The sequence below is a fragment of the Homo sapiens genome, chromosome 13 (assembly GCF_000001405.40).
Source record: "Homo sapiens chromosome 13, GRCh38.p14 Primary Assembly".
NCBI lineage: Eukaryota > Metazoa > Chordata > Mammalia > Primates > Hominidae > Homo > Homo sapiens.
Genome location: NC_000013.11, coordinates 48650584 through 48677204, shown reverse-complemented (window position 1 = coordinate 48677204; position 26621 = coordinate 48650584). Strand labels below are relative to the sequence as shown.

Sequence of the window (26621 nt, the reverse complement as noted above, 5' to 3'; positions counted from 1 at the left end):
TTCTCTTCTCAAACTTCCTTTTCAGTCACTCTGTAGACTTCAATTCTCATGTCTTTGAAACCTCCACTCATCTGACTTCTGTAGCCCTGAGGCCTCATGGTTTTCCATTTCCTGACTGCTCACCCTTCTGACCCCCAGTCACTTCACCTTTACCCTATTGTGGACACCCACTGGAGCCCCATCTTTGTCCTCGGCTCACCTCTGCCTATATTTCCTCAAAGGCTTTACCCACCATGGAAACTTTGCACTGTTTCTTTGCCTCTGCCTCCCAGATATGCCTTTTGACAGCCCATATTTTCGTCTTATAGTTTGCAAAGAATTTTCTTTTCAGATATCTCATTTGCTCCACTAGCTATCCTTGAGACAGGCTAAATTGGCATTGTTATCTCTATTTTACAAATAAAGAAACAAATCTGGGACTAGGAGAGCTCAAATGGCTTTTCCTAAATTCTAACCTGAGCTATAGTTCCAACATTTTTAGTTGCCTACAGGATAGTCTTATTTGGAGATTCTGCCTCTACCTCAAACTCTGTCTGAATTTATCCATCTCCTCAAACTGATCTCACTCAGTTGGTAACCACTATTGGGAAGTTTTCTTTAATTCTTTTCTCTTCTATACTTCACATTCAATCAATTGGCTGAGTTATCTCCATTGTTTTTATATCATATTTCTTATACTTTGTCCCTACTCTATATGTACAATATCACTTTCCTAACCTCAGACTTTGTTAGCTGATGCCTAGAAACCATAGCATCATCTGTTTTTAGAGATTTAACCAGTAAAATCTATACATCATTGCTAGATGTAACCAATTAAAATGCAATTTTCATTTCACTCAGAGAGTGTAATTGCCTATCAGACCAAATGGAAATTCCTCAACCACAAATATGACTTTCCACCACTTGGTCCCAATCGTATCTGTATTCTCATATATGAGAGTCAGCACCAACTAGTGGAGCTGTACAATCAGGGAACAGATGGCAGAAAGAGCACAGAGACCTGGGTTCTGGTCTGCCTTTTCTAAGTAGGTGACCTTGGATAGACAAATTACTTAGCTTCTTTGAGGGAAGCTTATCTATAAAATGAGGATAGGGTGACTGGCAAGATGGCTGAACAGGAACAGCTCCGGTTTGCAGCTCCCAGTAAGACCAATGCAGAAAGTGGGTGATTTCTGCATTTCCAACTGAGGTACCCAGCTCATCTCATTGGGACTGGTTAGACAGTGGGCACAGCCCATGGGGGGTGAGCAGAAGCAGAGTGGGGTATCGCCTCACCTGGGAAGTGCAAGGGGTTGAGGAACTCCCTCCCCTAGCCAAGGGAAGCCTTGAGGGACTGTGCCATGGGGGATGATGCTATTTGGCCCAGATACTATGCTTTTTCCATGGTTTTTGCAACCTGCGGACTAGGAGAATCCCTCGGGTGCCTATACCACCAGGGCCCTGGGTTTCAACCACAAAACTTGGCTGCTGTTTGGGCAGACACTGAGCTAGCTGCAGGAGTTTTTTGCTATGCCTCGGTGGAGCCTGGAATGCCAGCAAGACAGAACCATTCACTTTTCTGGAAAGGGGGCTGAAGCCAGGGAGCCAAGTGATCTTGCAGGTCACTTGCAGATGCACCCCCACAAAGCCCAGCAAGCTAAGATCCACTGGCTTGAAATTCTTGCTGCCAGCACAGCAGCAGTCTGAAGTCAACCTGAGATGTGTGAGCTTGATGGGGGAGGGGTGTCCACCATTACTGAGGCTTGGGTAGGCAGTTTTCCCCTCACAGTGTAAACAAAGCTGACAGGAAGTTCGAACTGGCAGAGCCCACCATAGCACAGCAAAGTTGCTATAGCCAGACTGCCTGTCTAGATTCCTCATCTCTGGGCAGGGCATCTCTGAAAGAAAGGCAGAAGCCCCTGTTAGGGGCTTATAGATAAAGCTCCCATCTCTCTGGGACAGAGCACCTGGGGGAAGGGGTGGCTGTGGGCACAACTTCAGCAGACTTAAACGTTCCTGCCTGCCAGCTCTGAAGAGAGCAGCGGATCTTTCAGCACAGCACTTGACCTCTGCTAAGGGACAGACTGCCTCCTCAAGTGGATCCCTGAACCCCATGGGTCCTTAAACCCCATGCCCCCTGACTGGGAGACACTCCCAGCAGGGGTCAACAGACACCTCATACAGGAGAGCTCTGGCTGGCATCTGGCAGGTGTCCCTCTGGGACAAAGCTTCCAGAGGAAGGAGCAGGCAGCAATCTTTGCTGTTCTGCAGCCTCTGCTGGTGATACCCAGGCAAACGGGGTATGGAATAGACCTCCAGCAAACTCCAGCACACCTGCAGAAGACAGGCCTGACTGTTAGAAGGAAAACTAACAAACAGAAAGTAATAACATCAACATTAACAAAAAGGATGCCCGTGCAAAAATCCCATCCAAAGGTCACCAGCATCAAAGACCAAAGGTACATAAATCCATGAAGATGAGGAAAAACCAGTGCAAAAATGCCCCAAATTCCAAAAACCAGAATGACTCTTCACCTCCAAAGGATCACAGCTCCTCACCAGCAAGGGAACAAAACTGAATGGTGAATGGGTTTGACGAATTGACAGAAGTAGGCTTCAGAAGGTGGGTAACAACAAACTCCTCCTAGCTAAAGGATCATGTTCTAGCCCAATGCAAGAAATCTAAGAACATTGATAACAGGTTAAAGAAACTGCTAACTAGAATAACCAGTTTAGAGCAGAACATAAAAGACCTGATGGAGCTGAAGAACACAGCACGAGAACTTTATGAAGCATATACAAGTATCAATAGCAGAATCGATCAAATGGAAGAAAGGATATCAGAGATTGAAGATCTACTTAATGAAATAAAGCATGAAGACAAGATTAAAGAAAAAATAATGAAAAGGAACAAACAAAGCCTCAAAATATGTGACTATATGAAAAGACCAAACCTACATCTGATTGGTGTACCTGAAAGTGACGGGGAGAATGGATCTAAGTTGGGAAACACACTTCCAGATATTATCCAAGAGAACTTCCCTACCCTAGCAAGACAGGCCAACATTCAAATTCAGGAAATACAGAGAACACCACTAAGATACTCCTCAATAAGAGCAACCCCAAGACACATAATCATCAGATTCACCAGGGCTGAAGTGAAGGAAAAAATGTTAAGGACAGTCAGACAGAAAGGTTGGGTTACCCACAAAGGGAAGCCCATCAGACTAACCGCAGATCTCTCCGCAGAAACTCTACAAGCCAGAAAAGAGTGGGGGCCAATATTCAACATTCTTAAAGAAAAGAATTTTCAACCCGGAATTTCACGTCCTGCTAAAATAAGCTTCACAGGTGAAGGAGAAATAAAATCGTTTACAGACAAGCAAATGGTGAGGGATTTTGTCACCACCAGGCCTGCCTTACAAGAGCTCCAAAGGAAGCACTAAATATGGAAAAGAAAAACCGGTACCAGCTAGTGCAAAAACATACCAAAATGTAAAGACCGTCGACACTATAAAGAAACTGCATCAACTAATGTGCAAAATAACCAGCTGGCATCATAATAACAGGATCAAATTCACACATAACAATATTAACCTTAAATGTAAATGGGCTAAATGCCCCAATTAAAAGACAAAGACTGGCAAATTGGATAAAGAGTCAAGACCCATTGGGGTGCTGTATTCAGGAAACCAGTCCCATATGCAAAGACACACATAGGCTCAAACTAAAGGGATGAAGGAATATTTACCAAGCAAATGGAAAGCAAAAAAAAAAAAAAAAAAAAAAAAAGCCGGGGTTACAATCCTAGTCTCTGATAAGACAGACTTTAAACCAACAAAGATCAAAAAAGGCAAAGAAGGGAATCACATAATGATAAAGCGATCAATGCAACAAGAATAGCTAACTATGCTAAATATATATGCACCCAATACAGGAGCACCCGGATTCATAAAGCAAGTTCTTAGAGGCCTACAAAGAGACTTAGACTCCCACACAATAATAGTGGGAGACTTTAACACCCCACTGTCAATATTAGAAAGATAAATGAGACAGAAAATTAACAAGGATATTCAGGACTTGAACTCAGCTCTGGACCAAGTGGACCTAATAGACATCTACAGAACTCTCCACCCCAAATCAACAGAATAGACATTCTTCTCAGCACCACATTGCACTTATTCTAAAATTGACCACATAATTGGAAGTAAAACACTCCTCAGCAAATGCAAAAGAACAGAAATCATAACAAACTGTGTCTCAGACCACATTGCAATCTACTAGAACTCAGGATTGAGAAACTCACTCCAGGCCAGGTGCAGTGGCTCATGCCTGTAATCCCAGTACTTTGGGAGGCCAAGGCAGGCAGATCACAAGGTCAGGAGATCAAGACCATCCTGGCTAACACAGTGAAACCCCGCCTCTACTAAAAATAATAAAATTAGCCGGGCGTGGTGGCAGGCGTCTGTAGTCCCAACTACTTAGGAGGCTGAGGCAGGAGAATGACATGAACCCAGGAGGCGGAGGTTGCAGTGAGCTGAAATTGTGCCACTGCAGTCCAACCTGAATGACAGAGCAAGATTCTGTCTCAAAAAAAAAAAAAAAAAAAGAAAAGAAAAGAAAAGAAACTCACTCAAAACCACACAACTACATGGAAACTGAACAACCTGCTCCTGAATGACTACTGGGTAAATAATGAAATTAAGGCAGAAATAAATAAATTCTTTGAAACCAATGAGAACAAAGACACAATGTATCAGAACCTCTGGGACACAGTTAAAGCACTGTTTAGAAGGAAATTTATAGCACTAAATGCCCACAGGAGAAAGCAGGACAGGTCTAATATAGAAATCCTAACATCACAATTATAAGAACTAGAGAAGCAAGAGCAAACAAATTCAAAAGCCAGCAGAAGACAAGAAATAACTAAGATCAGAGCAGAACTGAAAGAGATAGAGACACAAAAAACCCTTTAAAAAATGAATTCAAAAGCTGCGTTTTTGAAAAGATTAACAAAATAGATAGACTGCTAGCCAGACAAATAAAGAAGAAAAGACAGAAGAATCAAATAGACACAATAAAAAATGATAAAGAGGATATCACCACTGATCCCATAGAAATACAAACTACCGTCAGAGAATGCTAAAACACCTCTATGCAAATAAACTAGAAAATCTAGAAGAAATGGATAAATTCCTGGACACATACACCCTCCCAAGACTAAACCAGGAAGAAGTGGAATCCCTGAATAGACCAATAACAAGTTCTGAAATTGAGTCAGTATAATTAATAGCCTACGAACCAAAAAAAAAAAATCCAGGACCAGATGGATTCTAAGCCAAATTCTACCAGAGGTACAAAGAGGAGCTGGTACCATACCTTCTGAAACTGTTCCAAAAAATAGAAAAAGAAGGACTCTCCCTAACTCATTTTATGAGTCCAGCATCATCCTGATGCTAAAACCTGGCAGAGACACAACAAAAAAAAGAAAATTTCAGGCCAATATCCCTGGTGAACATTGGTGTGAAAATCCTCAATAAAACACTGGCAAACCAACTTCAGCAGCACATTAAAAAGCTTATCCACCACGATCAAGTTGGCTTCATTCCTGGAATGCAAGGCTGGTTCAACATACGCAAATCAATAAACATAATTCATCACATAAACAGAACCAATGACAAAAACCACATGAATATCTCAATAGATGCAGAAAAGGCCTTTGATAAAATTCAACACCCTTTCATGCTAAAAGCACTCAATAAACTAGATGTTGAAGGAACATATGTCAAAATAATAAGAGCTATTTATGACAAACCCACAGCCAATACCATACTGAATGGGCAAAAGCTGGAAGCATTCCCTTTGAAAATACACACAAGACAAGGATGCCCTCTCTCACCACTCCTATTCAACATAGTATTGGAAATTCTGGCCAGGGCAATCAGGCAAGAGAAAGAAACAAAGTGTATTCAAATAGGAAGAGAGGAAGTCCAATTGTTTCTGTTCGCAGATGACATGATTGTATATTTACAAAACCCTATAATCTCAGCCAAAAACTCTTTAAGCTGATAAGCACCTTCAGCAAAGTCTCAGGAAACAAATCAATGTGCAAAAATCACAAGCATTCCTACACCCAAATAATAGACAAACAGAGAGCCAAATCATGAGTGAACTCCTATTCACAATTGCTACAAAGAGAATAAGATACCTAGGAATACAACTTACAAGAGATGTGAAAGACCTCCTCAAGGAGAACTACAAACCACTGCTCAAGGAAATAAGAGAGGACACAAACAAATGGAAGAACATTCCATGCTCATGGATAGGAAGAATCAATATCATGAGAATGGCCATACTGCGCAAAGTAATTTATAGATTCAATGCTATCCCCATCAAGCTACCACTGACTTTTTTCAAATAATTAGAAAAAACTACTTTAAATTTCAGATGGAGCCATAAAAGAGCCTATGTAGCCAAGAGAATCCTAAGCAAAAAGAACAAAGCTGGAGGCATAACACTATCTGACTTCAAACTATACTACAAGGCTACAGTAACCAAAACAGCATGGTATGGGTACCAAGACAGATGTATAGACCAATGGAACAGAACATAGGCCTCAGAAATAACACCACACATCTGCTCCCATCTGATCTTTGACAAAACTGACAAAAACAAGCAATGGGGAAGGGATTTCCTATTTAATAAATAGTGTTGAGAAAACTGGTTAGCCATATGCAGAAAACTGAAACTGAGCCCCTCCCTTACACCTTATACAAAAATTAACTCAAGATAGATTAAAAACTTAAACATAAGACCTAAAACCATAAAAACCCTAAAGGAAAACCTAGGCTATATCATTCAGGACATAGGCATGGACAAAGACTTCATGACTAAAACACCAAAAGCAATGGCAACAAAAGCCAAAATTGACAAATGGGATCTAATTAAACTAAAGAGCTTCTGCACAGCAAAAGAAACTATCTTCAGAGTGAACAGGCAACCTACAGAATGGGAGAAAATTTTTGCAATTTATCCATCTGACAAAGGGCTAATATCCAGAATCTACAAGGAACTTAAACAAGTTTACAAGAAAAAACAAAAAACCCCATCAAAAAGTGGGCAAAGCATATGAACAGACACTTCTCAAAAGAAGATATTTATGCGGCCAACAAACATATGAAGAAAAGCTCATCATCACTGGTCATTAGAGAAATGCAAATCAAAACCACAATGAGATACTATCTCACGCCAGTTAGAATGGCGATCATTGAAAAGTCAGGAAGCAACAGATGCTGGAGAGGATATGGAGAAATAGGAATGCTTTTACACTGTTGGTGGGAGTGTAAATTAGTTCAACCATTGTGGAAGACACTGTGGCAACTCCTCAAGGATCTAGAACCAGAAATACCATTCAATCCAGCAATCCCATTACTGGGTATATACCCAAAGGATTATAAATCATTGTACTATAAAGACACATACACATGTATGTTTATTGCAGCTTATTCACAATAGCAAAGACTTGGAACCAACCCAAAAGCCCATCAATGATAGACTGGATAAAGAAAACGTGGTACATATACACCATGGAATACTATGCAGCCATAAAAAATAATGAGTTCATGTCCTTTGCAGGGACATGGATGAAGCTGGAAACCATCATTCTCAGCAGACTAACACAGGAACAGAAAATCAAACACCATTATGTTCTCACTCATAAGTGGGAGTTGAACAATGAGAACACATGGACACAGGGAGGGGAACATCACACACTGGGGCCTTTCAGGGGGTGGGAGGCTAGGGGAGGGATAGCATTAGGAGAAATACCTAATGTAGAGGATGGGTTGATGAGTGCAGCAAACAATCATGGCATGTGTATGCCTTTGTAAAAAATCTGCACGTTCTGCACATGTATCCCTGAACTTAAATTAAAAAAAAAAAAGTCAGGAAACAACAGATGCTGGAGAGGATGTGGAGAAATAGGAATGCTCTTACACTGTTGGTGGGAGTGAAAATTAGTTTAACCATTGTGGAAGACAGTGTGGCGATTCCTCAAGTATATAGAACCAGAAATACAATTTGACCCAGTAATCCCATTACGGGGTATATACCCAAGGGATTATAAATTATTCTACTATAAAGACACATTCACACACATGTTTATTGCAGCATTTTTCACAATAGGAAAGACTTGGAACAAACCCAAATGCCCATCAATGATAGACTGGATAAAGAAAATGTGACACATGTACACTATGGAATACTACGCAGCCATAAAAAAGAATGAGTTCATGTCCTTTGCAGGGAGATAGATGAAGCTGGAAACTATCATTCTCAGCAAACTAATACAGGAACAGAAAACCAAACACCGCATGTTCTCACTCAGAAGTGGGAGTTGAACAATGGGAACACATGGACACAGGGGAGTGGGAACATCACACATCAGAGCCTGTCGGGGGTTGGGGGACAAGGGGAGGGATAGCATTAGGAGAAATTCCTAATGTAGATGACAGGTTGATGGGTGCAGCAAACCACCATGGCACATATATACCTATGTATCAAACCTGTACATTCTGCACATGTATCCCAGAACTTAAAGTATAATAAAAAAATAAGTAAATAAAAATAAAATAAAATGAGGATAATGATGCCCCCCAACCCCATATCTGATGAGGGCTCCAAGAGAAGCAAATATAGTAATGCATGTAAAGACACTTTGAAACTATGAAACTGGTATTATTGTTATTATTTTACTGTTCTTCAAGACCAGGTAGCCAAGACCTGGGTTTGCACTTCTTTATGCCTATTCCTGTGCCTTTCACGCCACTCTCTCTGATCTCTAACCTGCCCCTCTTCCTATTCCCCCCTCTTCCTCAACCTGCAATGTGCCTAACTCTTGCCAATCCAAATAACCTTCTTCAACATCTACATTGCCTTCTGCAGATCACCTTAGCAACTGACATTTCCCGTGGGTCTCTCTTTTTTTTTTTTATCCCTATGGCACTTGTATAAAAACTACTGCAGCCTAAAATTAGTTCTCCTTGCTCTTTGGGGGATATATGTCAGGCAGACACATCATGTCTGCCTCTCCAGATAATCAGATTTTCATGGGGAATGGACAGTCTTCTACTGATTTTGCATACCCTATTCTGACAAGCACATATTTGAGGGAACTTGGTAAACATCATCACTAGGCAAACAAGTGTTACTGCAATGTGCTCTTAAAGCACAAGTATTAGACATGGAACCATAGGATTTGATGGTCTAGGCAAATTTGCAGCCACATTAGGCTTCCTCTTCTCCTCACTTTCATCTAACCACTCTGTTGCGGTTTTTAATTCTCCACACTAAGAGGCTCCTACTTTAATACCCCACCCTGCAATCTGCAGCTCTTCCCACAATAGTACTGTATGTTTATCTAATAACTTTAGAGATTGTCTTGAATGTTAGCTCCAAGAGCTAGCACATACTGTGCAAGGGCAAATAGGATGCTTTTTATAAATCATAGAAATGTTCACAGGAAACATGCTCCCAGGCCAAGTGAGCAGCTGTGCAGTTGAGTCTTGGCCCTGAGAAACATCCCCATAGGTCATGCCCAGCAAACCAGTCTTAGGCTAGCTTTGCAATTGTGCACCCATATAACAGTCCTGAAAAACAGCCCTGTGGGGCACCCCTGGAAGGCATGTCCCCAGGCAAGCCAAGCAGACGTTCTGAGCCAGAGAAACAGCCTAATGGGTTGCCCCAGCAGATGTTCCCTCAGGCCATCCAAGCAGCTATGTACCTGCATCCTGAGACTGAGAAATATCCCTGCAAGCCACTCCTGGCAGGCATGCCCTCCACCCCCCAGGCTGACTGAGCAACCGCATTGACATACTCCCAGCCAGGGTAACAGCCCCATGGCCTTAACCCTAGCAAACTTAACCCATAGTTCGTTGACCCATCATGTGTACACACATTCCCTTTACCTGAGAAACAGCCCAGGAAGCCCACATCTGGCTATCACTACAAATTCTTACAGCCTAGGCCACTGAGAGACTTGCAAATGCCACTAATGTGGATTACAGCCAAAGAAACCACATGAAGACTACACTAAAATGTCTACGTAGAACCAAGGTCTGCTCACCTCACTGAACTGATACTCCAGGACACATTTATATGAATAAGCTTTGCCCTGTGAAACCTACTCCATAAAATTGAAAGAGACAACTTTTCCACCAGATGTGTAGAAATCAACATAGGAACACATCAAATATTTAAAAGCATGGAAACATGACACCCCATAAGGAAAATAATAATTCTAGTAACAGACCCAAATCATAGGGAAATACATGAAATGCAAATAAAGGAACTCAAAATAATAATCTGAAGGTGACTCAGTGAGATATAAGAGAATACAGATAGACAATTCAATGAAATCAGGAAAATGATTCATAATTTGAATGAGAAATTCAACAAAAAAAGATAGTTATCATAAAAAAGAACCAAAAAGAAATCCTAGAGATGAAGAATTCATTGAATGAAATAAAAATATAATAGAGAGCTTCAACAACAGACTGGCCAAGAAGAAAGAATTTCTAAGCACGAAGACAGGTCTTTTGAAATAACACAGGCAGACAAACAAAAAAGGCATAAAAGAGAACGAAAAAAGCTTACAGGATTTATCGGACACAGTTCAGGAAAGAAATGCTCATATTATGGGTGTTTCAGAAGGCAAAGAGAGGAGAAAAGTGTAGGAAAATATATTTAATAAAATGATAGCAGAGAACTTCCCAAGTCTTGAGAGAGAGATGGGCATCCAGGTCCAAGAAGCTAAAAAATTTCCAAATAGATTCAATGCAAAAAGATCCTCCCCAAGTCACATTACACTTACACTGTCAAAAGTCAAAGACAAGAAAAAATTTTAAAAGCAGCAAGAGAAGAGCATCAAGCCACATATAAGGGAATCTTCATTGGCCTAAGGGTGGATTTCCCAGCAGAAACCTTAGAGGTCAAGAGAGAATTGGGATGATAAATTCAACATACCAAAAGAAAAAACCTGTCCATGAAGAATATTATACCAAGCAAAGCTATCCTTCCGAAATGAAGAGGAGATAAAATCTTTCCCAGACAAGCAAAAATTAAGAGAATGTATCACCACTAGACCAGCCTTAAAAGAAATGCTCAAAGGAGTCATATCTGGAAGTGAAAAGATGATAACCATTTTCATGAAAACATGCGAAACTATAAAACTTACTAGTAGAGCTGATACACAAAGGAGAATCAGAAAGGAATCAAGCCTTATCACCACAGGAAACCATTCAATTGCAAAGATAAACAATAAGAAAAGAAGTAAGGAACAAAAGATACACAAAACAAGCAGAAAAGAATCAATACAATGATAGAAGTAAGTCCTCACCTCCCAAGAAATAATAACCTTGAATGTAAATGGATTAAATTCCCCATTTAAAAGATATAGACTGGCCTAATAGATTTTAAAAACACAAGACCTAACTATATGCTGCCTATAAGAAAATCACCTAACCTGTAAAGATATACATAGACTAAATGTGAAGGGACGAAAAAAGATATTCCATGCAAATGGAAATCAAAAGTGAGCAGGAATAGCTATGCTTATATCAGACAAAACAGACTTTGGGTTAAGCTGTAAAAAGAGAAAAGAAGGACATTATATAATAATAGAAAGATGAATTCACCAAAAAATAACAGTTGTAAGTATATATGCACCCAACACTAGACCACCCAAATATATAAAGCAAATATTAAATCTAAAGGAAGAGATAGATCCCAATACAACAATATCTGGGGACTCAGCAGCCAATTCTTGGCACTGGACAGATCATCTAATCAGGAAATCAACAAAGAAACATCAGATTTAAATGGCCCCATACACCAGATGGACCTAACAGACATTTACAGAACATTTCACCCAACAGCTGCAGAATACATATTTATTTTTCATCAGCGTGTGAAACATTCTCCATGATTTACAATATATTAGGACACAAAACAAGTCTCAAAAAAATTTTTTTAAGAATCAAAATCATACCGAGTAACTTATTTGACCACAAGGGAACAAAAATAGATAGCAATAACAAGGGGAACATTCAAAACTATACAAATACATGGAAATTAAGCAACATGCTTCTGAATAACCAATGGGTAAAGAAAGAAATTAAGAATATAATTTTAAAATTCCTTGAAACAAACTAAAATAGAAACACAATATACCAAAAACTATGGGGCACAGCAAAAGCAGTGTTAAGAGGCAAGCTTATAGCAATAAATGCCTACATTAGAAATTAAAAAGATTTCAAATAAGCAACCTAAAAATGCCCCTCAAGGAACTAGAAAAGCAAGAGCAAACTAAGCCCAAAATTAGTAGAAGAAGTAATAAAGAGCAGAATAGAAATATAAAATTGATACTTAAAAAAATACAAAAGGTGAACAGCTGGTTTTTTGAAAAGGTAAACAAAATGGACAAACCACTAGCTAAACTAAGAAAAAAAGAGAGAAGAACCAAATAAATAAAATCAGAAATGAAAAAGGAAACATCACATCAGATCCCACAGAAATACAAAGGATCATTAGAGACTACCATACTACCATGAACAATTATATGCCAATATATTTGAAACCTACAGGAAATGGGTAAATTCCTAGACACATACAACCTACCAAGATTGAACCATGAAGAAAACAGAACCTGGATAAGCCAAAAACATATAATAAGATTGAATCAGTAATAAAGAGTCTCCCAAAAAGAAACACCAGATGGCTTCACTGATGAATTTTACTGAATCTTTAAAGAAGAATTCATATCGGTTCATCTAAAACTATTCCAAAAAATTGAAGCAGAAGGAATTAATTCTTCCTAATTCATTCTATGAAGCCAGCATAACCCTGATACCAAAACTGAATAGGGACATAACAACAACAACAAAAAAAACTACAGGCTAATATCCCTGATACGTATAGAAGCAAAAATGCCAAACAAAATACTAGCAAACCAAATCAAACAACATATCAAAAACACAATACACCATGATCAAGTGGGATTTATCTCAGGATGCAAGGATGGTTCGACATATGCAAATAAATAAACATCATACATCACATCAATAGAGTGAAAGACAAAAGCCATATGATCCTCAATAGATGCAGAAAAATCTTTTGATAAAATTTAAGCTCACTTCATGATAGAAACTTCTTACAATTAGGTATAGAAGGAAAGTACTTCAATATAACAAAGGCCACATGTGACAAACTCACAGCAAACATCTTACTAAATTAGAAAAAGTTGGAAGTTTTTCTTCCAAGAACAGGGACAGACAATGATGCTTACTCTCACCACTCTTATTCAATATAGCACTGGAAATCCTAGTCAGAGTCATTAGGCAAGAGAAATAAATAAATGGCATTCATATTCAAGAGAAAGAAGTCAAATTGTTCCTGTTTACAGATGATAATCTCATATATAGAAAGACTCTACCAAAAACTCTTAGAACTAATAAATCATTCAATAAAGTTGCAGGAAACAAAATTAATATACAAACATCAGTAGTGTTTTCTACACAAACAATGAACTAGCTGGAAAAAAAATATCAAGAGGGCAATCCCATTACAACAGCTACAAACAAACAAAAAACAACCTTAGGAAGAAATGTAACCAAGGAGGTGAAAGACCTCTACAAGGAAAACTACAAGACACTGATGAAATAAATGGAAGAGGATACAAACAAATGGAAAGACAACCCATGCTCATGGAGGAGAACTAATATTGTCAAAATGACAACACTATTCAAAGCAACCTACAGATTCAATGCAATTCCTATCAAAATACCCATGACATTCTTCACATAAATAGAAAAAAGTTCTAAACTTTGTATGGAGCCACAAAAGAACCCAAATAGCTAAAGCAAACCTGAGCAAAAAGAACAAAGCTGGAAGTATCACACCACCAAACCTCAAAATACACTACAGAGTTATAGTAACCAAAATAGCATGTTACTAACAAAAGCAGACACATAGGCCAATGGAACAGAATAGAGAATCCAGAAATTAATCCAAATATCTACAGCAAACTGATTTTTGACAAAGGTGCCAAGAATACTCATTGGGGAAAAGACAGTCTCCTGAATAAATGGTTCTGGGCAAACTGGATGTCTATAGAAGAATGAAACTAGGCCCAAACCTCTCACTCTACAAAATTTAACTCAAAATGGATCAAAGACTTAAATATAAGACCCAAAATGATAAAAACTACTAGAAGGAAACATGGGACACACATTTCAGAACACTGGTCTGGGAAATGATTTTGTGAATAAAACCTCAAAAGCACAGGCAACAAAAGCAAAAATAAACAAATGGGATTATCAAACTAGAAAGTTTCTGCACAGCAAAGGAAGCAATCAACAGAGTGAAAAGATAACCTACAGAATTTGAGAAAATATTTGCAAGCTACTAATCTGACAGGTGACTAATATTCAGAATATACAAGGTACTCAAACATCTCAACAGCAAAATATTCAATTTTAAAATGGGTAAATGATTTAAACAGACATTTCACAAAGAAGACATTCAAATGGTCAACAGGTATATGAAAAAATGTTCAACATCACTAATCATCAGTGATGATTTTGCAACTCAAAACCACGATGAGGTATCATCTCACCCCAGTTAGGATGGCTATTATCAAAAAGATGAAAAAACAAATGTTGGCAAGGATGTGGAGTAAAGGGAACTCATGTGTTGTTGGTGGGACTGTAAAGTAGTATAGCCACCATGGAGAACTATATGGAGGTTCCTCAAGAAACTAAAAGTAGAATTACCATATGATCCATCAGTCTCACTTGTGGGTACTTGCCCAAAAGCTTTGAAACCAGTTTGCCTAAGAGATGTCTGCACTGACATGTTTACTGCAGCACTATTCACAATAGCCAAGTTATGGAATCAACCTAAGTGTTCAACAACAGATGAATGGATAAAGAAAATGTGGTATATATACATAATGGAATACTATTCAGCCATAAAATGGAATGAAATCTTGTCATCTGTGGCAACAAGGGTGGAAATGGAGGACATTATGTTAAGTCCATTGTATTTCCTAAACCAGAAACAGAAAGTCAAACACCATATGTTCTCACTCATATGTGGAATAGTAAAAAAAGTTGATCTCATAGAAGTAAAAAGTAGAACAGAGGAAACCAGAGGCCTGGAAGAGTGGGGGAAAGGGAGAGATTTGGTAAAGGATACAAAATTACCACTAGATGAGAGGAATAAGTTCTAATGTTCTATACCACTGTAAGATGGCTCTAATTAACAATAATGTATTAAATAGTTTCAACTAGTTCAAAGGAGGATATTGAACGATCCCAACAAAAGGAAATGATAAATATTTGAGATGATGGATATGCTAATTACCCTGATCTGATCAATATACATTACATGTATAGAAACATCAATATATACCCCATGAATATGCAATTATTATTTGTCAATTTGACAAATAAATTAAAATAAATAGAAGTGTTCACAGGAGACAGTTGGTGTAAGGTAGCAGGCCACATCTGCCACTTACTGGCTGTGAGATTTTGCAGAAGTGACCTATCTTCTCTGAGCCTCAGTTATGCCATCTATAAATGGCATAATAAATGTGAGTTGTCTCATACAGGGTGAGCGCTCAGTGATGTTAACTATTATTATTAAACCTCAGAATTGGGACCTAGAACAAGCATTAAGGAGGCAAAATTTTTGCAGGGCACTAGTAAATATATAAAAACAAGGCTGAGAAATGATTTAATGATAAAAAATGGTGAGAAGCATGACAGGTGTTGCTCTCAGCTGCAGGGAAGCAGTAACAGAGCAGCAACCTCAGGATTTAAATCCTGATTTGTTCACGGACTACCTCTATGACCATGGGAAAATGACTTTATCTCCCTCGGCGTCAGCTCCTTATCAGTAAAAGGGGGTAATGCGGCCAGGCAAAGTGGCTCATGTCTGTAATCCTAGCACTTTGGGAGGCTGAGGCAGGAAGATCGCTTGAGCCCAGGAATTCAAGAGCAGCCTGGGCAATAGAGCAAGACACTGTCTCAATAAAAAAGAAAAATTAAAAAAAAAGATTAATTTAAATAAATAAATAAAAGAAAGGGGTAATGCTAATAATAGTTCTTACTTCATAGGGTTGTAAGGATGAAGTGAGATAATACATGAATGGCACTTAGGTCAGGGCCTGGACCAGAGAAAGTGCCATATTAAGTGTTAGCTGTTGTTATTGCAAAGGCTGACAGAATAAGCTCTCTGAAGTTGTGCAGAGAGGATTCTGCAACACATTTGTTCCTCAAAATCCCAGAGGCCTCAGAGTGCTGAATTAACACGGCCCTCCAGAACAGGGAAGTATCACTGAGAGTTTACTCTTGAGACCCAAGCTGACAACTCAGAGTTTATTTGTAACAGGCTCCAAATGTCATGTCAGAAATGCCAAGCTTTCTAGACCTTCCTGGCCTTCCAAGAACGGTCTTGTGCTTTCAGAATTTTTTTTTCAAAAAGTCAAGGTGAATTAAGTTCTTGGAGATCAAAACAGAAACACAGATAAAAGGAACTGAAATTGTGACATATTTTGAATGTGAAACGGAGCTGGTCTCTGAGCTTCCAGAGGAAGTGGGATGGAGGGGAATGAATCTCACAGGGCCTTGTTTTCATGGACTCAGTGCCTTGGAGAATTTTGCTGCACTGATTTTTCCTCTACCCGGTCACCCACAAAGTGCCTCAAGGAGCCCCCAAAGTATGAGTCACTTCATTGGCCACCAGGCTGGTGACCCTTTGCTTTCTGAATGCCATTTATTTCCACATGCCACTTAACCATGAAGTCAGCACTTTGGGCCATTGGTGAAGAGTTTTCTGGCAGATCTACTGTTATCTCCCAGAGAACAACTTATCCCCAGGGATGTAGCAGGGATTGAAACCTAGCAGAAGTTTGGCATCCAAACATGCCAGGGGACACCTCTGCCCTCAAGAACAAGATGTACAGCATTACCTCAGACCTCCTTCTTCCCACCTCTGTCTTTACTAATTCTCCTTGTTTCCTTCTTTAATAGACTCCAAAAGCTAGCTTCTCTTGCACATTCATCCTACCACTAACATTCAGCCACCAAATAAACAAACAAAAATTCAACTCAACAAAAACATCATATATGAAGAGCCCTGAGCTGCTTAGAGATATGGCTTCATTTTGTTTAAAAACATTATTTTGACTAAATGTTGCCCTCTCTCTGGCTCTCAAAACTTTCCTCAGCTCTCCTTGGTTAATATAACACATGAGTCTATGATGCTGATTATGAATTTAATTTTCGTAAAAATCTCAACAATATGTTTTTCATTTTCTAATGCACTTCATCCTTGTATTTAGAAAGGTTGGCGGTATCTATTATTCACCAAATGTCTGATCTAAGGAAGACCACAGAATCACAGAATTGTTTTTTATCTGAGTCTCTGATTTCCAAGACAGAAGAACAGCAAGTGTTATCATAGAAACATTGTCCTGTTTATTCCAATAAATCCCTACGGATTGATCAACATTAGGGTCCTCCCTGTCCATAATCAAGGTAACTAAATGACATGACTCAGGAGCTCCTCACAAGCCCATTTATTCAAATTAAAACTCCCTCTCATTCTCATTTCCCCTAGACAGCATTTCATATTCCATTATTAAATTCAATTCTTAGAGAAAAGAAATTATTTACAAAGGTAGTTTGTTAAACATCATGTGTATTTCCTAAAATGACATAGAGACATTGCGATATCATGGAAAACCTCTGGAATAAATCCCAACTGAACCCAAATCCTAGCTCTTCCTTGTGCAAACTGTGTGACCATCAGAAAGTACTCAACATCTCAGAGTTATTGAGAGGACCCCAGGAGGCAGCACAGGTGACAGCCAGGGATGCAGCTACACTTTGCCTGGCACCATGCATTGTCATTCCTGTTGCCACCCCACCTGCTGCCAGTGGCATGGGGGCAGTGGGTATCTGAAATCTAAAGGAGAGAGGGCCAGGAGCAAAAGTAAACCATGGGCTCTCCTCCTCTCCTGCTTGTCCTGCTGCCCAGTGTCTCCTCTGTGGCAGACCTGGCCTGTTTACCCAGCAGCCTCCATCAACTTCCTCCTTTCATCTCAGTGGTCAGCTCAAGACCGGCCTAGTACAGGCTGTCATCTTTCACCTGCACAATGGGCACAGCCTCCTCAATGGCTCCCTATCTCCACTCTGGCTGTTCTCAATTCATTTTTCACACAGTGGCCAGAGTGACCTTTCCAAAATGCATATCTGACCACATTACTCTTCCACTTAAAACCCATTATCATCTCAGAGTCAAGTTCATCTCCAGGCTTTTCATAGTATTGATCTTGTTGTCCAGCATATTCTCTCCCCACCATCCCCTCAGTAAAGGACACTCAGTCTCATGAAGCTTATTTCAAAACCCCCAACACTGCAGGCTCTCTCTTGCCCATTTCTTCTGAGCTCCAGCTCATTTCCTGGCTATTGCTTACCCAGTCTCAGGTTTCTTTCTAAACATCACTTTCTTCAGAAAAAGTCTTCTCTGATCCCTCCATGTCTTGGCTGTTTGCAGACCCTTGGGTTTCCCATCCAGCATTTACTCCAGGGGCAGCAGTTGTCTCCTGTCTATCCCTACCCACCAGACTGTTTGCCCATGGAAGGCAAGCACGTGTCTACTGCTGTACCCCAGGCCCTAGCACAGCGTGAAGCACATGAATGTGCTCAGATCAATAAATGAGCTAATGAAGCTGTTATCCAACACCCTCATTTTATGCCTTACAATTAATATCTTTTTGGGGGGCGGGAAAGAACTCACATGGTTTTTATAATGAAATGATGTTAATGTGTTTTTCCTTGAAAATTTTCTTTTCCTGAAATTCAAATCTAAAGTCTGGGAAGAGGAATATAGGGTAAATGGTCAATGGCATGGCATGGGAGCAGAAGGCAGCCACAGAGGGTACCCAGATGGTGCTCTGTTCTAAACACTGTAGGAAGCAGCACCCTTTATATCTTGGAGGGTAGCAGACTGTTTCTCTGACTCTGTGCCAACAAGTTCCCAATAGGGATTTGTGCCTCTTACAACTAAAAGGGAGTCACCTTCATATCTCTCAGTGAATTTACAAAGGAACAGTGAATTTACAAGAGATTTACATATCTCTCAGCGAATTTACCTTATTTTTAAGGTAAGACTCAAAATAAAGAGAAACCAGCTTACTTAAAAGAATCTGGGATACAATGTTATTCAGGTGATGGTTACCCTAAAAGCCTTGACTTGACCACTACACAATTTATGCAATCTATACGTCTAATAAAATTGCATGTGTAATCCATAAATTTATACAAATTTAAAATACTTTAAAAATAATAATTTGACAAAAGAGAAAAAAGAATCTAGGATGCCTTCAAATACTCTTTAGATGATTGTTTTTCTGTACTAGAGGTACAAACAAGGTACGATGCTGTTTCTACAGCCTCATGGCAGGAGACTTACGTGGGAAATTATCTTTTTTATAATAAATTCTTATTTATATAATGTACAATGTAGGTAATAATGGTGGACTAAATTATTTTAATTTCTCCCAGCTTAATTAATATTTAAACTTCCAGAGTAAACCAGCTCCCTTCCCCTCTTTTCCTCTCTCCTTTTCCATCTCTTTCCCTCCTCTCCCCTCTCCTCTACTTCCCTCCTTTCTCTCCTTTCTTCTGTTCTTTCTATAGTCTGCTTCCTGTACTTTTTTGAAACCTCTCCGTTAAGGACTTTACACTAAAGAGGCAAAAAAAACTCTGCCTCTGGTCCCAGCTCTTCCTAAGGACCCTTCCGACTTTGGAATTTCTTGACTCCAACTCACTGCTTAGACCCTTATCCTGGGCCTCTCGAATAATAACTAGATTTCTTTGTCAAAAGACTGACTGTACTGCCACAAAGTCATCAATCCATTGGAAGAGGTTTTCCTTTAAATTCTGTCAAGATTATATTTTCTCCATGGGTCAATTAATATAAAGAGGTTAATAAAGTTCAACAGAGATAAACATTAGCTGTAACTAATAAAGTCTGCATTCATTGGGTGAATTGATTTATTTACACAATGCCTTTATTCTCAATGGAGTTTATGTGCTAGGTTCTATGCAATGACTCCAATGTCAGAGTCTTGGTCCAATAGAACATACTGTACATAAGTAACTGCAGTACAAAGGAGGCAGTGGCCAATACCCTGAGAAATAAAGAAATACAGTGCTAGGGGTTTCTGACATGGATTTCAAAAAGCTCTCTAGCAACGCTGAGCACCCACAGCAAAATGCTTGCCTTTCTTTGTATTATCCAATTTGGCTGCCGCATTAGCCAGAGTTCATTGGGTAATTGCACAATCCCTTGTGAGGCTTTTATCTTAAAGGCTTACCCTTGGGGAACTAGAGTGCCTCAGATATCTGGTGCACAGAGCAAACTATAGAAAAGCAGAAAGGATCTTTGATTCTGGAGTACACAGGAAATGCTAACGATGCCCAAGGTAACCATCATGTACTCATGTACACAGCAATGAGTACACTGAAAAAATATATCATCTTTCCTCCAAAATGGAGGCTGCTCATGTGATCCCAGGTGGATAGGAGGCAGAGTGATATAATGAATGAAAGCATGTGCTTTTGAGTTAAAAGGGACCTGGGTTTAAGTTTCAACTCTGCCTTTTAGTCTCTTTTATTACTGCAGCCGTCTGAGCTTCAAACTCTCATCTGCCAAAGGAGCACTGGAGTGAGTATTGATGAAAAAAAAATGGATGTTAAGTGATTAACTTGGTGCCCAACACATGTGAAGAGTTCAGTCAGTACTAGCTAACAATCACAATAAGATTTGTGACAATAATGTACAAAACTCAGATAATTAAACAGGAGCCTTCTTTATGGTCAAGTGAAAGAAGATGGGGCCATTTCATCTGGAGAAGAGCCAACCAGAAACACATGAACAATTCTATTTATTTTTATTACACAAGTAGTACACATTCATGGTAAAAAAAAATTACAATGTAATACAAGCTGAAATAAACTTAAATAATGAACTTTACCACCAACCAGACATAGCTAAAATTTTGCATATATGGTTTTTTTATCTTTCTTGAAATATATACAAATATTTTTGAACAAAAATGAGCACACTTATAATGCTGTTTGTATCTTGCTTTTTTCTTATTTCGTGTCATGATCACCTTTCTTTGCCAACTAACAACATCAATGTCATCATTTAACTGGATACAGAATAGCCAATTATATAAACATTATGAAATTTGTTTAACCAATTTCCCACAATAGCTATTATTTAAGTTGTAAGAAAGGACCATGTGCCCTGGGCTCAACCAGATTGGACCAGTTCTGGTTCCACCTGGGAAAGATCCTATGTTCTCTTGGTCTCATCTTTACCATCTTTAAAATAAGAATTACATCCTCCAGTTCTTAAGGCTAGTATGTGGATCAAATGAACTGATGCCTGTAAACATGTTTTGTAAATAGTAAAGTACTATGTGAATGTTTACATTCATTAAAGAAGGTACTAAACAGGTGTTCTCCACTGAGTCAAAACAAGAAGAAATTAGATTAACATGCTGTTGGTCTCATTGGGATGATTCCTAGCCTGTAGCAGGCTGAGTGCAACAGCAAATGCTTCAGTGTGGTTTAGGCGCTGTGGCTCTGTTTTCAGTCCCTGATGGGAGAAACCAGAACGCAGCCCTGGCATAAACTCTATCCACTTTCCTCCTGAGGATATGAGGTCCAGAGAAGGTAAATGCCATGTCTATGTGGCTCCTGAAAGCCAGAGTGAGCCACCTTCTGCCTCCAAATCCAATCCCATCGATCTTCGCTGTGCCCACAGTGTGTTAGTGAACTGGCCAGCTATTAAATGCCCACCTTGTGTTTAATCTTGAAGAGTTTTAAAAGGAAGCCTGGCTGCCTTGGTAGATTCTAGCAGATATGGGCGTGATTCAGATACATTTAGAACACACTTGAGCCTCAACTTCTCTAACTTTTAACCACCGAAGCACTGGAAACAAATCCATCTCTTTAAAACATTAGTAAATCGAAACACAAGTAGATTCTTATCTCAAGAGTTTATGTGGCTGAGTAGATGATAGAAATTTCTAGAAGTCTTATGTTTCCCACAAATTATTTTATAATTTGCATTATTTATGTAGTGTTGAAAGGGAGATTTGGTTGGCTTGCCTTAAATTATACCTCCCTTTCTCCTAATACATATTACTCTCAGGTATATTTCAGAGACAGAAAAATATTTTGAATGACCTAGGTCATCTGTTTTTATGCTGACCACCCATTAGAACCACCTGAGAAGTTTCTGGAAAACAAGATAAAATACTGCAGATGACTCACTGATCTCCAAAAGTTAAGCTTCAGTTATTCTAGGGGTAATTTTCTAATCTCCTCAGAGTCGGGTGATTCTGGCCAGATGTGCAGCCAGGGTTGAGAAACACTGATTAGGGTCCCAGTGGGGTAAGGAACAGATTATATGCTCATGATCTCACATACTCTTTCATTCTCATTGTGCCTCTGAGCAAAACCATTGAAATATATGTGCTCAGATTTAACTTCTTCTACCCCTAAAACAAGACACTGAATGGAAAAAATATATCTTATATAATAGAAGGACCCAAACTATGAAAAAGAGGATAACAGCCAAAAATGGAGGAAGTATAGTAAAGTTCCTCAATGCAATAATATGCAGCAGCTTTAATTTATGATTACAAAGAATTCACAGCAACATGGAAAAACCATAGACTGATATGGAGGAAATGAATACAAACTTGTCCATAGTGTAGGGACGCAACTATGAAAACTAAAGTTATATGTGCATACACACACACACACACACACTCACACACACACACACACACACACACACACACACACACACACACACACACACACAAAGGGACGATCCCCAAAATATCAATAGAGGCTATTTTGGTGGAGAATTTGGCTTCTTTCAACATTTTTATACTTCCACAGTATTTTTTAAACTACCATGTACATGATAGGAAAATAACATTTATAGTAGAACAAAACAAATTTACTTTTAAAAAATTACTCCTCTGACTATTATGTGATCATCAAGTCATGATGCTCAACACTGAATTAACAAAACAAAGATTAAAATGCCCACCTGAAGGTCTCTGTCTTTCAGCTGCCCTGGCTTCTGCTGCCTCTATCTCTCCTGCCTTTCTCCTCCGAGTAATTCAGGTTGCTCATTTCAAAGAAAAGTGAAAGAGCAAATTATATTTATGAACAGTGCCAACCAATAGCAAGCAAGTCAGGAAGTGTAGCAGGTCATCTGTGCTTTTTAGAAGCCATTGTAGATGTTAGTGCAAGCTCCCTTCTCAAGAAGGGTGAAAATTTCCAGTTAGGGGCTATGTCTAAAAAGAAGAAACCTAAAATTGCCCTGCCCCTCTAATGACTGGTTTTTTGTCATTATCTTTCTCAAGAGATCAAGCGGATATGATGGGTTAGAGTCAGGAATTTTAAGTGGCTTTTAGTTCTCCTAAATGGTTTCTGTTTCCATGGCAACAGAAATAGCAACATTGCCTTACACACATAGCACTTTAGACTTTTTTAAAGCACTTCCCTCACTCACTTGCATTTTCAGCTCACTTGCACTCAGGCAGAGACCTTATCCAGTCTGCTGAAAATGTTCTGTCAGAGGTCACCAAAAACCTCCTTGTTGCTTACATAAAAAATCCTTTCTCAGTCCTCACCTTCCTTCCCCTCTTGTTTGCATAGTTGACCATTGCCACTTTCCTGAAACTTTTCCCTTTTTTCTCTGACTTTCCTGGTTCTTTTTCTACCCCTCAGATTGCTCTTCTTTGCCTCTCTTTCTGATGCCTCTTCTTCCACCCCTTTTCTACGTGTGAGCTTTCCCCAGAGGTCTGTGTTCTGACTTCTTCCCTCCTTCTCTTGCTTTTACCTATCTGATCCACAATCATGGCCAAATTTAATGTGGCCCAGGTGGAGCTTTTCTCTTCCTCTCTTAGTCCTGCATCCCCCCATCTACCCTGTCTAAGCAAATGGCACCACAATAATTTAGCCAGTTCATCCATCCATAAACCTAGAAGTCACTTTTAACTTCCCTCTTTCTTCCACCACCCACTTCTGAGCCAACAAGTTCCATTTGTTCTGCCCATAAAATATGTTCCAAATCGAACCATTACTCATCTCTCCATCACTGTTCAAATCCTCGTTTCCTGCATAGAAAGCTGCAGTAACATTAAGCAAGAAAAATAAGTAAAAGGGATCCAAATTGGAAATAAATAAGTAAAATTTTGTCTGTTTGCAAATGATAAAATCTTATATGTAGAAAAACCTGAAGATACCATGCACACACACACACACAAAACCCCAATAGAACTAATAAGCAAGCAAATTGAGCAAAGTTGCAGGACAGGAAATCAATACACAAAAATCAGTTGCATTTATATACACTAACAATAAACAATCCAAAAATGGAAACTAAGGAAACTATTCCATTTATAATAGCATCAAAATGAATAAAATACTTTGGATATATACTCAGTAGTAAGGTTACTGAATCTTGTTGAGATCTCTGCACTCTCATGTTTACTGTAGCACTATTCACAATAGCCAAAATATGGATCACCCGAAATGTTCATCAACAGAAAGATGGATGAAAAATGTGGTATATATTCACAATTGAATACTATTTACTGATTTAAAAAGAACAAAATTTGTCATTTGTGGCAACATGGATGAGCTTGGGAGACATTATGTTAAGTGAACTAAGCCAGGCATAGAAAGATAAATACTGCATGTTCTCACTCACATGTGGAAGCTAAAAAATTTGATCCTATAGAAGTGGAGAGTAGAATAGTGGTTACTAGGGGCTGGGAAGAGTACTTTCTAGGGGTGAGGGTGAGTGGTTTTCTGTGCAGCTTCTTCATGCAGCTGTGGAGAAGGGGCTGGGACCAAGGTTGCTCCTCTGAAGACAAGGTTCTTCCTGGGTCTGGGATTCTATTTCTAGTATTTTATTTATCCCAATTAGAACTCACAGTACACAAATGTTATATTACCATTCTCATCTTTAGGGGGCAAAAAGCTTGAAACAACATTTCATTCTACAAGCAGTCACTATAGATATTCATTCTTCTCCAATAAAAGCCCAATTGGCCAGGCGCAGTGACCTCACGCCTGTAATCCCAGCACTTTGGGAGGCCAAAGTGGGCAGATCACGAGGTCGGGAGTTGGAGACCAGCCTAGCCAATATGGTGAAACCCTGTCTCTACTAAAAATACAAAAATTAGCCAGGCATGGTGGCACGCGCCAGTAGTCCCAGCTACTTGGGAGGCTGAGGCAGGAAAATCATTTGAACCCGGAAGGTGGAGGTTGCAGTGAGCCAAAAAGCCCAATTAATTGACTAATGTTCATCTCATTAAAATGAATAAAGTGGGCTGGATGGAGTGGCTCACCCCTATAACCCTAGCACTTTGGGAGGCTGAGGCAGGAAGATCTCGAGTCCAGAACAGACTGAAAGCAGTCTGAGTGACACAGGGAGACCCCATCTCTAAAAAAAAAAATACAAAAATTAGCTGGACATGGTGGCATGTGCCTATAGTCTCAGCTACTCAGGAAGCTAAAGTGGAAGGATTGCTTGAGCTGGGGATGTTGTGGCTGCAGTGAGCTGGGATCACACCACTGCACTCCAGCCTGGGTGACAGAGCAAGACTGCCTCAGAAAAAAAAAAAAAAGGCTCATGCCTAATCCCAGCACTTTGGTGGGCTGAGGCGGGTGGATCACGAGGTCAGGAGTTCGAGACCAGCCTGGCCAAGATGGTGAAACCCCGTCTCTACTAAAAACACAAAAATTAGCCTGGCGTGGTGACAGGCACCTGTAATCCCAGCTACTTGGGAGGCTAAGGCAGGGAATTGCTTGAACCCGGGAGGCGCAGGTTGCAGTGAACTGAGATCGTGCCACTGCACTCCAGCCTGGGTGACAGAGTGAGACTCTGTCTCCAAAAAATAAAAAATAAAAATAAAAATAAAAAAAATTAAAAACTTTAAAATAAAATAAACAGTGAAAAAAAATCGATCCTACACTCCGAGAGCTAACTTTTGAATATTAGGTTTTCAAGGAGCAGAATATGTTTCAAGAGTATTAGAAAGATAATGAGGGAAATGCTTTCTCCCTACTCCCTGCTTCTGAATCTGTAAACCTCAGAGAAAGGAGAAACCTATTCAAGACTTTCTTTTATTTTTAGGACAGCCTGGGATCTCTAAGCACTCCATAGGCAGTAAATTTGCTGGAGAGTGCCCATTAGACACTCTTTCTTTGTACAATTTGGACAGATGATATAAAGAGATGCAATGTCATTTTAACCGGATTTGTCAGGATGGAGCAAGAAATCATTCATTTAGAGTAGATAGGGAAAGGGTCGATGACTTTAAAAAGAAGATAATCCTAGGGAGCAGAGAAAGGAATAAACACATTATCCTATGTGCTGCTCTTGATGATTTAAAGGAAAACATGGAAGCGTGTTTAATGTATATGGCACACAGAGAACTTCTCCGGAACTTTCAAAGGCCTGCAGAA

The 26621-nt window shown here is 39.4% G+C and overlaps 1 protein-coding gene across 11 annotated transcripts in view; it reads right to left on the bottom strand.

Annotated features, from left to right (window-relative positions):
- The window catches only part of CYSLTR2 (cysteinyl leukotriene receptor 2), a 57298-nt gene extending 34022 nt beyond the window's left edge, over positions 1 to 23276 (bottom strand). For all 11 annotated transcript variants that reach the window (NM_001308465.3, NM_001308476.3, NM_001308468.3 and 8 more), the window contains exon 1: positions 23188 to 23276. The gene's annotated coding sequence lies outside the window, so the exon portion shown is untranslated. The remainder of the gene's footprint in view (positions 1 to 23187) is intronic.